The sequence below is a fragment of the Homo sapiens genome, chromosome 1 (genome assembly GCF_000001405.40).
Source record: "Homo sapiens chromosome 1, GRCh38.p14 Primary Assembly".
Taxonomy (NCBI): Eukaryota; Metazoa; Chordata; class Mammalia; order Primates; family Hominidae; genus Homo; species Homo sapiens.
In genome coordinates this window covers 156,387,836-156,402,459 of record NC_000001.11, presented here as the reverse complement: position 1 = coordinate 156,402,459, position 14,624 = coordinate 156,387,836, and the positions used below count along the sequence as shown (strand labels likewise).

Below are 14,624 nucleotides of genomic sequence, written 5' to 3'. Positions count from 1 at the left end.
TCCTAGCCTTGCCAGGACCCACTGTGGCCCTGGGGAGGTGGGGTGAATGGAGGCAGGATCTGGCTTGGGGTCCATTGGTATGGAAGAAGCTTCCCAGGTCTGCCCACTCCTCCCCCTGCTTTTGTTTGTACCCCACAACCTGAGCATCAGTCTTCGTGGTCACCTTACCATGGTGCTGGGGGGCCTGAGCAGGGAGAGGCAGCTGGCCACTGTGGCTAGTCCTCTGCCTCCTCTCCTGGCCTCTGGCTTGGAGGGGAGGCTCCCGGCGGGGGAGCTGGGGCAGGAAGGAGGAGGTGGGTGGAAAGGACTCCTCTGAGCACAGGAAAGAAAAGCAGGAGAGGGCCCCAGAGGGTGGACAGCCTTTTGGAAACAGAATGACCCAGACCCAGACAGGGGCAGAAGGGGCGGGGAAGGACCCCTCCCTGGACAGAGATGTCAGGACTGGGGTGGGAGGACCCAGGCAGGACACTTTGGAATGTGCGCTCTCAGAGTCCCACTGAGCATATGCAGATGAGGCCTGTCTGTATGCAAATGAGCCCGTCTGTATGCAGATGAGGAGAGAGGGCATTCTCTTCTCAGGGTTACCATAGAGCCCACCTCCTCCCCTTCCCTCTGGGCTCCAGCTGCAGGGCAGCCTGGGAAGAGTCCAGGCCCAGGGAGAGGCAACCTGCAATAGAAGGTTAGACTTCAGGAAGGACTTACCAAAAAAAAATGGCTAGTTCTGGGAAAGGAACTGGAGATGAAATAGGGAATATAGAGAGGCTGCTGAGAGGGCCAGGTAAAAAAGATAGGGGTGCACAATGAAAGGACATCTCAGCCACAGGAAAACACAGGCAAACTCACAGAAAGCTTTGAGAGGGAGGCTGGGGAAGAGGAGAAAAGGAGCCGCGACTGAGCAGCCACTCTCTGCTGAGCCCCGCACAGGATGCCTTCCACTCAGTCTCACTGGATCCCAGTGATAACCCTGTGAGGCCTTTTGCAGAGGAGGCCTACAGAAGCAGAGAGACTCACCCACATCACACGGTTTGCAAGTGGCAAGGCCCTGGCCTGTCCGACTTTACGGCAGGCAGCCACAGCTTAGACCCTTCCCACTGCTTCCTGGCAGACACTGAACAGCTCTTCCTACCTGAGGGGAGAGGAGGGGCACTAGGGGTTGGAGAGCTGTGCCTGGAGCAGGGGCCTGATACACCCTGAGGGGAGGTCCAGTTGGGTCTCAGCCAAGGTAGGGCCTGCAGAGGGTTGAGAATTGCCAGTGCAGTTCCAGGGGAGGCTACTGGGGGAACTTGGGTGGGCTGCAACCAAGAGGGTACCATCATGGCTGGGAAAGATGCCAGGGATGATCCAGTGGGGGAAACTGAGACCCAGAGAGGTTAAAACAGTTGCCCCCTCAGTCAGCAGATCCAAGTAGAAGCTGGGCCTAAACTCTGGCTCCTGGGTCCCCAGCCCCTTCCTAGGAGTGCAGAGGCCAGGAGTGGAGGGGTCTCTGAGAATAGCCTCTCCTCTTCCTCCAGTGGCCCCTGGCCCCCCACATCCAGTGGTGCAGCCAAAGCCTTTGTGGAGAAGCTGTGGGGAAGAGAGGCCCCTTGTTGGCCCATTCATAGTGCCGGAGGCTCGGCTGATGCCAGCCCCCGGCACCGGCTGGGCTATCCTTCCTGGGGGTGCCAGCCAGCCCCCACCCGCTGCCACAGCCCGCTCCCCAGCTCTGTCGTTTCCTGGAGCCTCGGGGCTTGGCCGTGGTCCCGGCTGAAGGATGGCGGGGAGCCCCAGCCCCCGCGCCCCCCGCACCTCGCCTTTCACACGCTGGCACCATAGCCGTGGGAACGCTGGACGGCAGCTGGGCACCGGTGCCCGGCTTTGCCCACCCCCAGCCTGGCCAACCTCAGAGAGGGGGAGAGGAACAGGCTGCCCCCAAAAAAAGCCCCTCCAGGATGGGGCCCTAGAAATACTTAGCACTAATTATGAATCTGGGGACAAACAAGGCATTTGCAAGTCAATTAGTGACAGAACTTTCCCAGGAAAGAGGTTCATCCAGGCTCAGCTTCAGACAGGGCCACACGCTGGGTCATCTTGTCCCTCCTCCTGCCTCTGCCCTGCTCGAAGCTCCAGGGATACAGACCGACCCGATGTTCTGCCAGCCCCTATGTGGCTGAGGGTGCCAGGGTCCTGAGTGGGCCTGGGGGGGTGGGAGGGAAAGGCTGAGCTCTACTGAGGTCAGCTGGAGGTCAAAATAGGGCTGTCACCAGGAGACATTCTGCCAGGGCTCTGGCCTCAATTCCACCTGTGACAGAACCTGGTGGCTCCTGGAAGGAGATGCCAAAGAGGCCACTGGCCCAGACAGGGTGGCCCGAGTGGGCTGAGAGGGAAATAGAAGTCATTGTAAAAGGGCCAGTGGGAGATGCTTCCCAGAAAACACAAAGAAACCAGGACAAGAGGAGACCAAGGGAGAAGACAAAGGGTCTTCAGGCATCTCAACAATTGTCCCCAGGCCAGGAGGCACACTGTGGGGATTTCAGCCCTGCTTGCAGGGGAGCCTCCAGGTGGACCAGCACGGATATCTGAGGCCACTGCCCATGGAGAAAGAGACAGAGCAACAGATCTTGCTCTTCCCGGGACTGAGAGGCCTTTAGCTGGGAAAGGGGCTCTCTACCAAGAGAACCCCTTAATTGGGGAAAGAGAGAGAAGGAAAGGGGCTGTGCAGGGCAAAAACCCTAGAGCCAGCCCCGCCATCTGAGGGAGATTAAGGGATTATAATTAAAAGGTGTTTGAGGGGCTCCAAGCAGGTGGGTTGGGGCGGGTGCTAATGATCTAATTGCTGCTTCACCAGGGCTTCAGCCAGGGCCTGGCTGCTGGGGCTCTGTAATGAGTCGGGTGTTTTTTTAAGGGAGGTGGAAGAGGAGAGGCGGAGCTGAAGGGCCAGGAGGGAAAGTCTTTTTCTTCACTTTGAGCCCTCAGCGCACATGCTCACATGCTCTGGCCAGTCCTTCCTTTAATGGCCTCCCTGGAAAACCAAGATGAAGCCTGCAGCCTACGGAGTCATGGGAGGCCTGGAGAAGACTTCTGGGAGCTGGGCGTGAACAAAGAGGGTGCTTAGATCCCCACAGAGAGAGGACACTGAGACACGGGATGGTTACGGGAAAGAGAGGCTCTCCTTGGAATAATTATAACAGATGTTGGAAGTAAATGCTCGGTGCCGCAAAATGAAAATAGCACTCAGGCAAAAGTTTTCTCAACAAGGCAATTTACTTCTATAGCAGGGTGTGTCTAGTGGATGGAGCAATGGTGAGAGCACACCAGACAAGGGAGGAGAAGGGGGTCTTATCCCTAATGCAGCTAGTCCCTACTGCTATGTCTTTTCCCTATTGGCTAAGGTTGGACCGCATAGTCTAAGCTAATTCCGATTGGCTATTTTAAAGAGAGCGAGAGTGGCCGGGCGCGGTGGCTCACGCCTGTAATCCCAGCACTTTGGGAGGCCGAGGCGGGTGGATCGTGAGGTCAGGAGATCGAGACCATCCTGGCTAACAAGGTGAAACCCCGTCTCTACTAAAAATACAAAAAATTAGCCGGGCGCGGTGGCGGGTGCCTGTAGTCCCAGCTACTCGGGAGGCTGAGGCAGGAGAATGGCGTGAACCCGGGAGGCGGAGCTTGCAGTGAGCCGAGATTGCGCCACTGCAGTCTGCAGTCCGGCCTGGGCGACAGAGCGAGACTCCGTCTCACAAAAAAAAAAAAAAAAAAAAAAAAAAAAAAAAAAAAAAAAGAGAGCGAGGGTAGGAGCCGGAGTGGTGGGGTGAGTAGTTTTGGCGGGAAGGACGGTTACAGAGCAGGTGACTAAGGATGACTAAGGACAGAGCAGGTGACTAAGGATGACTAAGGACAAAGCAGGTTACTAAGGACAGAGCAGGTGATAGAGGCTAGGAGGGAGTTGTTTACTGAGACTAGGGGCAAGGAGACAAAGAATGAGGAAGTTAAACTTTAAAATGGAGAACAAGGCCGGGTGCTGTGGCTCACGCCTGTAATCCCAGCACTTTGGGAGGCCAAGGCGGGAAGATCACCTGATGTGGGGAGTTCCAGACCAGCCTGACCAACATGGAGAAACCCCATCTCTACTAAATATACAAAATTAGCCAGGTGTGGTGGAACACGCCTGTAATCCCAGCTACTCAGGAGGCTGAGGCATGAGAATCGCTTGAACCCAGGAGGTGGAGATTGCAGTGAGCAGAGATGGCGCTATTGCACTTCAGCCTGGGTAACAAGAGCAAAACTCCGTCTCAAAAAATAAATAAGCCAGGTGCAGTGGCTCACGCCTGTAATCCCAGCACTTTGGGAGGCTGAGGCAGGCGGATCACCAGGTCAGGAGATCGAGACCATCCTGGCTAACACGGTGAAACCCTGTCTCTACTAAAAATACAAAAAATTAGCCGGGCGTGGTGGCGGGCGCCTGTAGTCCCAGCTACTCGGGAGGCTGAGGCAGGAGAATGGCGTGAACCTGGGAGGGTTCACTGCTTGCAGTGAGCCGAGATCGTACCACTGCACTCCAGCCTGGGCAACAGAGTGAGACTCCGTCTCAAAATAAATAAATAAATATAAATAAATAAAATGGAGAAGAAAGAACAGGGGAGCTGAACATACTGATACATTGGTTCTTTGGAGAGGGACTCAGAACTCATTGTACTTAACAATTTTCTCCCTCTTGAATTTTAAAGGAAGTTAACGAGCTAAAACCTTTGAAGAGGAATTTATTATATCCCACACAGAGTACAACTGAAAATGTAGTCTGTGTCAGGCACTGTACTGAGCACTTGACAAACTGACTTAACCCTCACAACCACACAGTAAAGACTGAGAAGGGCCGGGCGTGGTGGCTCATGCCTGTAATTCCAGCATTTTGGGAGGCCAAGGCGGGAGGATCACCTGAGGTCAGGAGTTCAAGACCAGCCTGGGCAACATGGTGAAACCCCGTCTCTACTGAAAATACAAAAATTAGCCGGGCGTGGTGGCAGGTTCCTGTAATCCCAGCTACTCGGGAGGCTGAGGCAGGAGAATTGCTTGAACCTGGGAGGCGGAGGTTGCAGTGAGCCAAGATCATGCCTTTGCCCTCCAGCCTGGGGGACAAGAGTGAGACTCCATCTCAAAAAAAAAAAAAAAAAAAAAAGACTGAGGAGGAGACACGCTCCCCGACCTAAATAGACGTCAAGGGTCCCAAAGACCAGGGATGGCCATTTTCAGGCCCTTCCTTCTTCCTGGGATGGGTCAGATAGTCAAACCCTCTCTAGACTCTGAGAGTCTACAGGCTGGAGGTCAAGAGTGTGCAGCTTGCAGCCCAAAGACCTCCGGCTATGGGAGTCCAGCCTCACCCAGTTTGTGCAGGCTGCTCTCTTGCCTCTCATGCAAAAAGCAGACCGTGGGCCCAGGCTTGGTGGCTCACGCCTATAATCTCAGCACTTTGAAAGGCCGAGGCAGGCAGATCACTGGGGCCCAGGAGTTCAAGACCAGCCTGGAAAACATGGCGAAACCCTATCTCTACAAAAAAAAGTTTAAAAAATTAGCCAGGCATGGGCCGGGCGCGGTGACTCGTGCCCGTAATCCCAGCACTTTGGGAGGCTGAGGTGGGTGGATCACGAGGTCAGGAGATCGAGACCATCCTGGCTAACATGGTGAAACCCCGTCTCTACTAAAAATACAAAAAAATTAGCTGGGCGTGGTGGCAGGCGCCTGTAGTCCCAGCTATTTAGGAGGCTGAGGCAGGAGAATGGCGTGAACCCAGGAGGCGGAGCTTGCAGTGAACCCAGATCGCGCCACTGCATTCCAGGCTGGGCGACAGAGTGAGACTCCATCTCAAAAAAAAGAAATTAGTCGGGCATGGTGGCATGGGGCTGTAATCCCAGCTGCTCAGGAGGCTGAGGTGGGAGGATTGCTTGAGCTCAGGGGTGGAGGGTGCAGTGAGCTGATCTGGCCACTGCACTTCAGCCTGGACAACAGAGCAAGACTCTGTCACAATAAATAAATAAATACATACATACATACAGAAAGCACCCTGTGAACCTGGACGCACAGTGGTGTCGTACCACTGAGCTTTTGCACATGCTGTTCCCTCTCCTTGGGAAGCCATCCCTTCTGCTCACTGTTACCTGTGAACTTCCACCCACATGGCGCTACTGGGGGGGTCTTCCTTTCCCCTCCATCCCTGGGCTCCCCTCAGATTTGAGGGTCAGTTATCTCTGGCAACCCAGAGCCAGGCTGAGAGGGTGCTCACTACTTATTCAGGACACAAATGAATGAATGGCCTGGTGAGGGGTGGGCATTCACCTTTATAAATGAAAGGCCTGAAACAGGGTAGCTCTGGGAGGACAACCGGGAACCAGGCGCGTGGGTTGTCTCTGGGATGGGAACTGGGTAGCAGAGACCCAGCGGACAGGAGACCTCCTACAGTATAGTATACTCTTTTGCACCTCAAAAGTTTGTTGTTGTTGTTTGTTTTTTTGAGACGTAGTCTCACTCTGTCGTCCAGGCTGGAGTGCGGTGGCGTGATCTCAGCTCACTGCAAGCTCCGCCTCCCAGCTCACTGCAAGCTCCGCCTCCCAGGTTCACACCATTCTCCTGCCTCAGCCTCCTGAGTAGCTGGGACTACAGGCGCCCGCCACCACGCCCGGCTAATTTTTTGTATTTTTAGTAGAGACAGGGTTTCACCGTGTTAGCCAGAATGGTCTCGATCTCCTGACCTCGTGATCTGCTCGCCTCGGCCTCCCAAAGTGCTGGGATTACAGGTGTGAGCCACCACGCCCAGCCGCTGCACCTTAAAAGTTTTATTACACGTGAAGAAATTATTTATTTAGAAACAATTTTTTTTTTTTTTAGGCTGGAAGGACAGTGTTTGACCCCAAAGGCCAGAGCATAAGAGAACCTCTGGCTGGGCACAGTGGCTCATGCCTGTTATCCCAACACTTTGAGAGGCTGAGGCAGGAGAATCACCTAAGTTCAGGAGTTCGAGACCAGCCTGGCCAACGTGGTGAACCCTCGTCTCTACTAAAAATACAAAAATTAGCCAGGCATGGTGGCAGGCGCCTGTAATCCCAGCTACTCAGGAGGCTGAGGCAGGATCGCTTGAACCCGGGAGGTGGAAGTTGCAGTGAGCCGAGACAGCGCCACTGCACTCTAGCCTGGCCGACAAGAGCAAAACTCCATCTCAAAAAAAAAAAAAAAAAGAGGAACCAGTGGCATTTCAGTCCCTTCTCTTTGCCTTCCCCTTCCATCACTCTACCCCTGCCTCCTGCTGGGCCAGCTGGGCCCACTCATGGTGGCCCACACTCAGCCTCATCCTTCAGGAGCCTCTCAGGATGATTCCCTTCTCACCTGCCGTCCCCCAGTTGGTATCGTGGACAGAGCACCTGGATTCTCACTAGTTGTGTACACATGAGTAAGTCACTGAAGCACCTGCCCGTGAGGGGTGAGACAGTGATGGCCACTCCCCTACTGCAGCTGGGGGATAGGAGTGAGACGTCACCTGGAGAACTGAGAGCTTCCACTTGCCCTTCCCCGCACACAGTGAAGGGGATCTCGCTGCCCTGTTGTTAATCTGCAGTGTGCTCTTCCCCAGGCCACGTCCCCTCTCCGAACCTCAGTTGTCCCTACTGGGACATTGTTGTGTCCCTGCCCTACCCTTGCCTGTACAGCTGAGCCGAGGAGAAAGAAATTGTAGTCTCTGTCTTAGCTTTCTCATCTGAAAAATGGGGATACAAATAGTAGCTATTTCCCAGAGCTGTCGGGGGAATTAAATGAGATAATGTATGTAAAGTGTTTGGTGTAGGAGAGGACTCATAAATGGTGGCCTTTATTATAGTTATTAAATGGGAGGGGCCCTGCAAAATGTACTAGTCTGGGGAAGGGACTCCTCATTACTACTCTGGCTGGGAATAATGAGGCCTTGTGGTAATAGCCCCTCGCCCTCCCAGGCCCCTCTGACAAAAGGACGCAGCGGCTGTGGATGGGGCCGACAAAGTAAGAGTGAATGGTACATAATGGGACACTTAGGGGCTTATCCCAGGCTGGGAGTGCTGGGAAGGAACCCTCCGGCTGTGGCTCCAGGTGCTGAAGGACCCGACAGGCCCAAAACACAACTGACAGGCCGTCCCTTTCCTTGGCAACTGGGCCAAGAGCCTCTGGACACCGCGTCACCCAGACCTTGACTCACAGGATCAAAGGCATCCCGGTGCCAGGCGCTGCTCTTCTTGCTGGGGCACTGGCCAACCGGCCTGCACAAATGAACCCCAAGACCTCTGACCCCATGACCTTTAACCTAGTGTAGCCCATTGGCAAGAATCAAAACAAATGGGTAAAATACTTAAGAGTTTCACACCATAATAAGTGATCTGGAGAAAAACAAGGAAAGGGTACGAGGCAAGGCTGGGCTGGGGATGGTGAATTGCAATTTAAAATAAGGTGCCTCCAGCCTCGCTAACATGGTAAAACACGATGAAAATTTTTTGTAAAAATACAAAAATTAGCTGGGCGTGGTGGTGGGCACCTGCAATCCCAGCTACTCGGGAGGCTGAGGCACAAGAGTCACTTGAACCCAGGAGGCAGAGGTTGCAGTGAGCTGAGATCGCACCACTGCACTACAGCCTGGGCAACAGCGAGACTCTGCCTCAAAAATAAAATAAGGTGCTTAGGGAAAACCAGGTTTTGTTCCACTTTTTCTTGTGGAAATTTAAAAATAGATATAAAATAAACAGAATAGTATAATGAGACCCCACCTATCCCTCGTCTAGCTTCAACATCTGCCAATCTTGTTTCATCTGCACTCCCACCTCCTTTTCCCCCACTTCCCGTGTTATTTTGAAGCAAATCCCAGACATCTCCTTCCATGAAGGATGTGATTCAAGCAAAGACCAAGGGAGGCGCAGAATCAGCCCTCGGGTTGTTTGGGAGGTGAGCATTTCGGTCAGAGGGACAGCCTGTACAAAAGCCTTGTACCTGGTACAGTATCAGGGCTTTCAAAAAACAAACAAACAAACAAAAAAAGAAGGATCCAGCTCTAATCTAATTTGCCCCTAACTTGATGTGTAACCTTAGACAAGTCTGCTAAGTGCTCAGTTTGTCATCTGTGAAATGGGGCTAATGCCCTCATCCCATAGGGAATTTGTAGGAGTGGAATGAGAATCCCCATGTTTCATAAAAGAGGACATGGCAGGGTCAAAGGTCAATGTCTGCTCCCAGGCAGATCTGGCCCCCAGAGAAACTCAGTGTCTCAGGGGAAATGAGACAAAGCCCCAGGGCACCCAACATTAGGTGGGGGTTGAGAGGGAGGCTGGGGTGGTTTCCTGGAGAAGCCACCCCTGGGCTCAGTCTGGCAGGCCACACTGATGGGGAGGGGGCCTAAGCCCAAGCTTGGCCATGTGTGTTGGCCTAGCCCTCGCCCCACCCCCCATAGATGGGCCACTGAATCCCAGGCTGCTGGAGACAAGAGAGGGGCTGGAGGCCTGAATGGCCAACTGTTCTCTGGGGAGGTTTGGCCCCCTTTAAAGATCCTCCTCACCACCTCCACCGCCCTCTCAGGGTGATTATCGCCAGAGAGGCCTTTCCTGGGGGACACAAAGAGACCCTCAACTCCCATCCTCAAGGCAGGATAATGGGCCATTCACACTGAGGGGACCCCAGCCCCACACCTGGCCCTCTCAGGCAGCCCCCAACCGCCCCATTGTCCCAGGCCCGCCCTGCACACTGGTGTCAGTGGCGGAGAAGCCCAAGCCCCCAGCTGGGGCACTCCTGGCCCTTCCCCCACCTCTCCAGCCGCCTGGACTCTGGGTCCGATGTGGGGGAGGTGGGCCTGCCATTCATCCCACACCCGCTCACTCGGAATTTCGCTCTTCTCGAAGGTCCTTACAGAGCGATGGGAAAATCGGAGGGAATAATTAGGAAAATCATTAGCGTCTCAAGGCCCATCTGAGAGGGATTAAGGGATTAAAAGCCTTCCAACCAATCTCTCCTACTTTAAGGTTGTTGTCGGGTTTTTGTTTTCAGGACTTTTTTTCTCTTCTTATTCCCTGGGTTGGGAGAGACTAAAGTCTTGGTGGATTCTTCCTTCAAAAGCTGTAGGAAAAAGTCAAGACATTGAAGTTGGGGTGGAGAAAAATGGGGGGAAGCAGGTGTGTGGGGGAGGTTCCTTCCCAAGCTCTCCTCAGCTGCCGTGGATCACTTCTTGGGGTGTAAGTGGATGGCAGAAGGGGGTGCAGAGGCCAGGCTGGACTAGAGGGGAAGCCTGGGCAGCAGACAGCTCCTGGAAAGGCCCCCAGGGCCCGCCCTGCCTGGCAGGCCACATCCTACCTCCTCGAGTCCCAGCTGAGAGCAGGCAGGCTCTCCTGCCCTGACGGGGTCCAAGTGGGGCAAACTGGACCAGAGGGCTCCTTGCAACCCCTCCTGCTCTGGTAGCCCGAGGCTGGAGGTCAGGCAGGGGACAGCGAAGCAGGGAAGGGCGTGGAAGGAGGGTGGCCTGGAGACAGGGGCAGGAAAGGCTTCATCACCAAAGCCAGAGTGGGCTTCCACTGTCCTCAGGGACACACAGCCCCTGTCATCGCGCACAGCACAGCCCCGTTGGTGTGAACAGATAAACAGACAGCTCATTACAGGCAGTGTGAGGTGGGACGCCATGTAAAGGGGTGAGGGAAGGGGTGAGGGAGACATTCAGGGACAGACCTCATGTAGTCTAATGTGATGGGGCAGTTCCCAGGAGGAGACTGCCTTTTGTTTATGACAGTACCCTCTGGCCTGACGCATGGTGGGCACCCAGTAACTGAGGGAAACATTCTGGTCAGAGGTGTCTTCTACTTTCTCACAGAGAGCACCTCACTGTCTCGCTGAGATGGCCCCTAACCACTGTGAAACCCCCGCAGGAGGGGCCACACTCCACAGCCTGGTTTGCAGGGCGGCGGGCAAAGGGGGACTCAGGAGGGCACGTGAGCTGTGGGCTGCCAGAGAGCAGGGCTGCTGGTGCAGGCGCCCACCCACGCTCTCTCCAGAGCCTTCGCACTCACCACCCGGTCCACCCTGCGTACCGGCATCAGGTGGGTTCATAGGCCTCTTACAGGCACACATCCTGGCCTCGGCCTGCCCAGTTTGGGGGCTCCCTGGAGTGCAGGTTGTCCCTCCTTTTCTCTGCAAGGCTCAGTGAACCCCCCGTGGTGCCTTTGTCTCCACCCACCCTCCCCTGGCAGGGCCTGAGGTGAGCTGGCCGGGGAAAGGGAGCAGGTCCTTCCCAAGATGGAGCCGGGTGGAAGCCGGCAGCCCAGCGCTTGCCAGCGGTGTGGTGATTAGATGCCTGGGCTGCTGCCTGCTACAGCATTAATAATCACGTTTATTAATGGTCTTAATTAGCAACCGCCAACAAGAAGCCCGGTGCTAATTTCACCAATAATCGAGGCTTGTGGGGCGTGGACAGGAAGGGCGGGTGAGGGGATGGATGGCTGCAGCACGGGGAATAATGCAGCCGCTGTGGGCAGTGCCAGAGCTGAGGCCAGCAGGGCCAGGGGCTGGAAAGATGGGGAAGGGGACCCACCCTCCACCACCCAACCCCCATCGCCTCCCACACCAGGGTGCCTTGACTCCCCACAGTGCAGCCTCCTCAGATGCTGTTGGGACAAAATGAAGTGTGAGGAATTGCAGGGAGGAGGGGGAAACCTCTGTCTGTGTCTTCAGAGCCAGAACCCAGACAGCAGCCCATGGGATGGAGGCAAATCTATAAAAGCCCGAGTGAAATGAGCTAGAAGGGGATTGGGAACAAGCCCCACAGTGTCCTGGAGCACATTCCTTGCTCTAGGGAGACGGAGATGGATGGTGCTGAGCTGGGAAGGAGGGGACGCTGGTGTGGGGCGGAGGCAGCTTCTCCAGCTGAGGGCTCTCCTGCCAAGAAGAGCAGGGTGGGAAAATCCAGACGATGCCCAGGCACAACAAAGCCCACTTCCTCTCTCAGCCTCAGAGCCAAGATGGGCCTACTTGGTGCCTGCCTGGGGCCCCACAGACCAGCCCAGAGATCCCTGGAAATCCAGGCAAAAGGGAAAGGGACACTTTGAGGCAGGGAGCTCTGGGGCCTGCCTAAAGCAAGGGTGACCATCTGCTAATGCCTTGGAGATGGAGGGCAATGGAAGGGACGCGTGTGCTCTGGGGCTCGGGTGGGCAGAGGAGAGGGGTGGGGATGCTGGATCACCTTCTTTCAGAGGTGGCTTTTGGGGTCTCTGGAGGAGTTTCCATGAGGCTGTGCAGCCCCAGGTCAGAATGCTGTGCAGGGATTCCAGGTTGGACCAGCAGTGCCCTGGATAGGAGAGTGGCTGGATGAGGAGCTGCAGAAAGGCCCACTACCCCAAGTAGAGGTGAACAGAGCTCTGGCTGCCTCCTCCACCCACAAAATGCCTCAGCTCCTAGGCCTGGTCCCTGCTCCCAACCTTCCTCTCATCTAATAGTCCTCCAAATACTATTCCAGAAGCCAGGCCCCACTGCCTCACCCCGGAATGGCTGGCATGCATGCTGCACCTGGATCTTTATAGAGGGCAGGGGGACAGAGGGGAAGAGCTGCATCTCAGGTGGAAGGCTGGGCCAGAGCACAAAGGAACAGGCCTCTGAGCCCAGCGGTGGGGCCCTGCCTTCCAGAAGACTGCCTGCCCTCCTACCCTCCTCCCTCGTCCCCTCATTCAGCCTCTCCCGCCTTCCTGCCACTGAAGACCTGGAGATCCTGGGACAGTCCTCATTTTGGTGTTGCCCCTAAAGCCATTATGAGTCCTGGAAGCATCACTGCTTCAAGGGCCCAAGCACCATCTCAAAAACAGCATCTCACTTGAGTGGCAGAAGCCCTTGCTCCTGAGTCTCAGCGTGGGTTTAGAAAAGGTGAACTCAGGTCCTGTGCCTTGCAAAGACTCCAGCCCATTCACTGGAGCTCAGCCTGGAAGCGCTCAAGTCCATAGTGCCAAGTTCCCAGCCGGAACAGGCTTTGCTCTGAGCAAAGAGCTCCCCTGCCCGCTGCCCGGGTATTCTCAAGCATTTGACCGGTGCGTTCTGTTAGATGGGTACAGTCTTCTGTGCTGGGGTAGAGGGATGCACTTCTTTTGCTTGTGGGAGGGACTTTGTGTGACAAGCCCCCACCTCTGCGTCATTGGAGAAGTTTATTTTCATCCTGCCATAGCTGGCCTTTCTCCCAGTAAAAAGTTGGGGCTCCTTACCTGGTGGTGGATGGCAGAGAAAAGAAAGAAAGAAGGCCTGGACTCGGCCTTGGGGCATCTCTGCCCAGTAATCTCTTTTGCTTTGGGGACACCACAAGTATTTCTCTCAGGGCTCTGGAAAGAATTGGCCTCAGAGACACCTGTCAAAATCTTTTGGGTCAATATGATGTGTATAAATGGATGGAGTTTGCCGGGAGGGGGTTAAGAGGGAGGGAGGGTAAGAAAAGCACCAACGATGACCAGCTTTAAACCCCAAGAGACACAGGTTCAGACTTGTGCAGGCCCGCAAGCTAGTGATGGGGCAGCCAAAATGGGGGCCACCATGGCCAGGTCCCAAAGTCAAGGCTCTTCGGGGAGAGGAGTAGGTATGGGTGGAGGGGACAGATGACCACCTCTCTGCGCCCCAAGGCCTAGTTCCGGTCACCCTCCGCCTTCCTCCCGGGCTGGCTGACTCCACTGGCTATCAGACGACTGCAGCACAGACAATGGCGCTCTGTCCCGGGCGCTCCGGGACAACAGCTCATCCCTATGCAGTGGCCGCCTCCCCCACCCAGGCCCGGCCGCCAGCCCTTTTCAGGCCGTGGAAGCCCAGGCGGCGGCGAAGGGGATTCTCACAGGCCGTTGGGCATTTGCATAGCCGGCTCGCCCGCCCGGAGACATTGGCCCGCATTGTTCCTGGGCGGCGGCGGCGGGCGCACGGGCCGGGGCGCGCGGGGCGGCGCGGCGGACCGGCTGGGAGTGGGCGGGCCAGACAAAGGAGAAGGGGCGCGCAGGGCCGGAGGCGGCGGTGGGGGAGTTCCCGACGGTGGGAGCGGAATATCGGGGTGAGGTGGGGGGACGCGGCAGCCGCGCTCGTCTGCCCCGGGACGGCCACCGCCCCGCACTTGGGACACTCACGCCGTGTCTAATTCCTCCCCGAGTTGGGGCCGCCGCGTCGTGATGTGAATCCCAATAGCGGGGAATCTCAGGCCTTTCCCAGGCTGCGCGGGGTTCGGAGTGCCGGGTCCTCCAGAGGTCAGAGGAGCAGCTTCTAACTCCTGGCCGAGGGGGCTCTGGCCACACAGGGCAGAAGCACCTGGGGGCTCCTGGGGACCTTGGGCCTCTTATCCAGATGTCCCTGGGCAGGAAATCCTGCTGTCGTCCACACGCACTTGCGCCAAGCCAGAACAGCGGCTGCTTCCGGAGAACCTTCCCTCAACGCCGCTGGCCCCGCGGGCTTCCACCCTGACCCCAGCGCAGCCTGTCTCCCCGCAACAGTCTTCTCTGGGAGGCAGGCAGGGGCCGTGTCCTCGTCCATCATTGTCCCCAGAGATCAGGCATTGGGGTTGGATAGACAGAGTTCATGAGCGGGCAAGTGTCCGATTGTCCTGCACTGACAGAAATAATGGTGCTGATCAGAGGGGCTGTCCCTGAGGGGCAGAGGCC

General features: G+C 56.0%; 5 annotated features.

Annotated features, from left to right (window-relative positions):
* Window positions 278-951: an enhancer, noted in NCBI's record as "H3K4me1 hESC enhancer chr1:156371301-156371974 (GRCh37/hg19 assembly coordinates)". NCBI's record gives its function as "activates a minimal SCP1, AML or CMV promoter by ChIP-STARR-seq in naive H9 embryonic stem cells {active_cell/tissue: H9 hESC(naive)}" and the evidence as "EXISTENCE:reporter gene assay evidence [ECO:0000049][PMID:30033119]".
* Window positions 1,626-2,301: an enhancer, noted in NCBI's record as "H3K27ac-H3K4me1 hESC enhancer chr1:156369951-156370626 (GRCh37/hg19 assembly coordinates)". NCBI's record gives its function as "activates a minimal SCP1, AML or CMV promoter by ChIP-STARR-seq in naive H9 embryonic stem cells {active_cell/tissue: H9 hESC(naive)}" and the evidence as "EXISTENCE:reporter gene assay evidence [ECO:0000049][PMID:30033119]".
* Window positions 3,703-3,997: a transcriptional cis regulatory region, noted in NCBI's record as "candidate enhancer chr1.9068 targeted for multiplex CRISPR interference". NCBI's record gives its function as "positively regulates C1orf61 gene expression with high confidence in K562 cells {active_cell/tissue: K562}" and the evidence as "EXISTENCE:mutant phenotype evidence [ECO:0000015][PMID:30612741]".
* Window positions 9,059-9,564: an enhancer, noted in NCBI's record as "H3K27ac-H3K4me1 hESC enhancer chr1:156362688-156363193 (GRCh37/hg19 assembly coordinates)". NCBI's record gives its function as "activates a minimal SCP1, AML or CMV promoter by ChIP-STARR-seq in primed H9 embryonic stem cells {active_cell/tissue: H9 hESC(primed)}" and the evidence as "EXISTENCE:reporter gene assay evidence [ECO:0000049][PMID:30033119]".
* Window positions 14,049-14,343: a silencer, noted in NCBI's record as "tiled region #198; HepG2 Repressive non-DNase unmatched - State 4:PromP, and K562 Repressive non-DNase unmatched - State 20:ReprD". NCBI's record gives its function as "represses a minimal TATA promoter and a strong SV40 promoter by Sharpr-MPRA in HepG2 and K562 cells {active_cell/tissue: HepG2 | K562}" and the evidence as "EXISTENCE:reporter gene assay evidence [ECO:0000049][PMID:27701403]".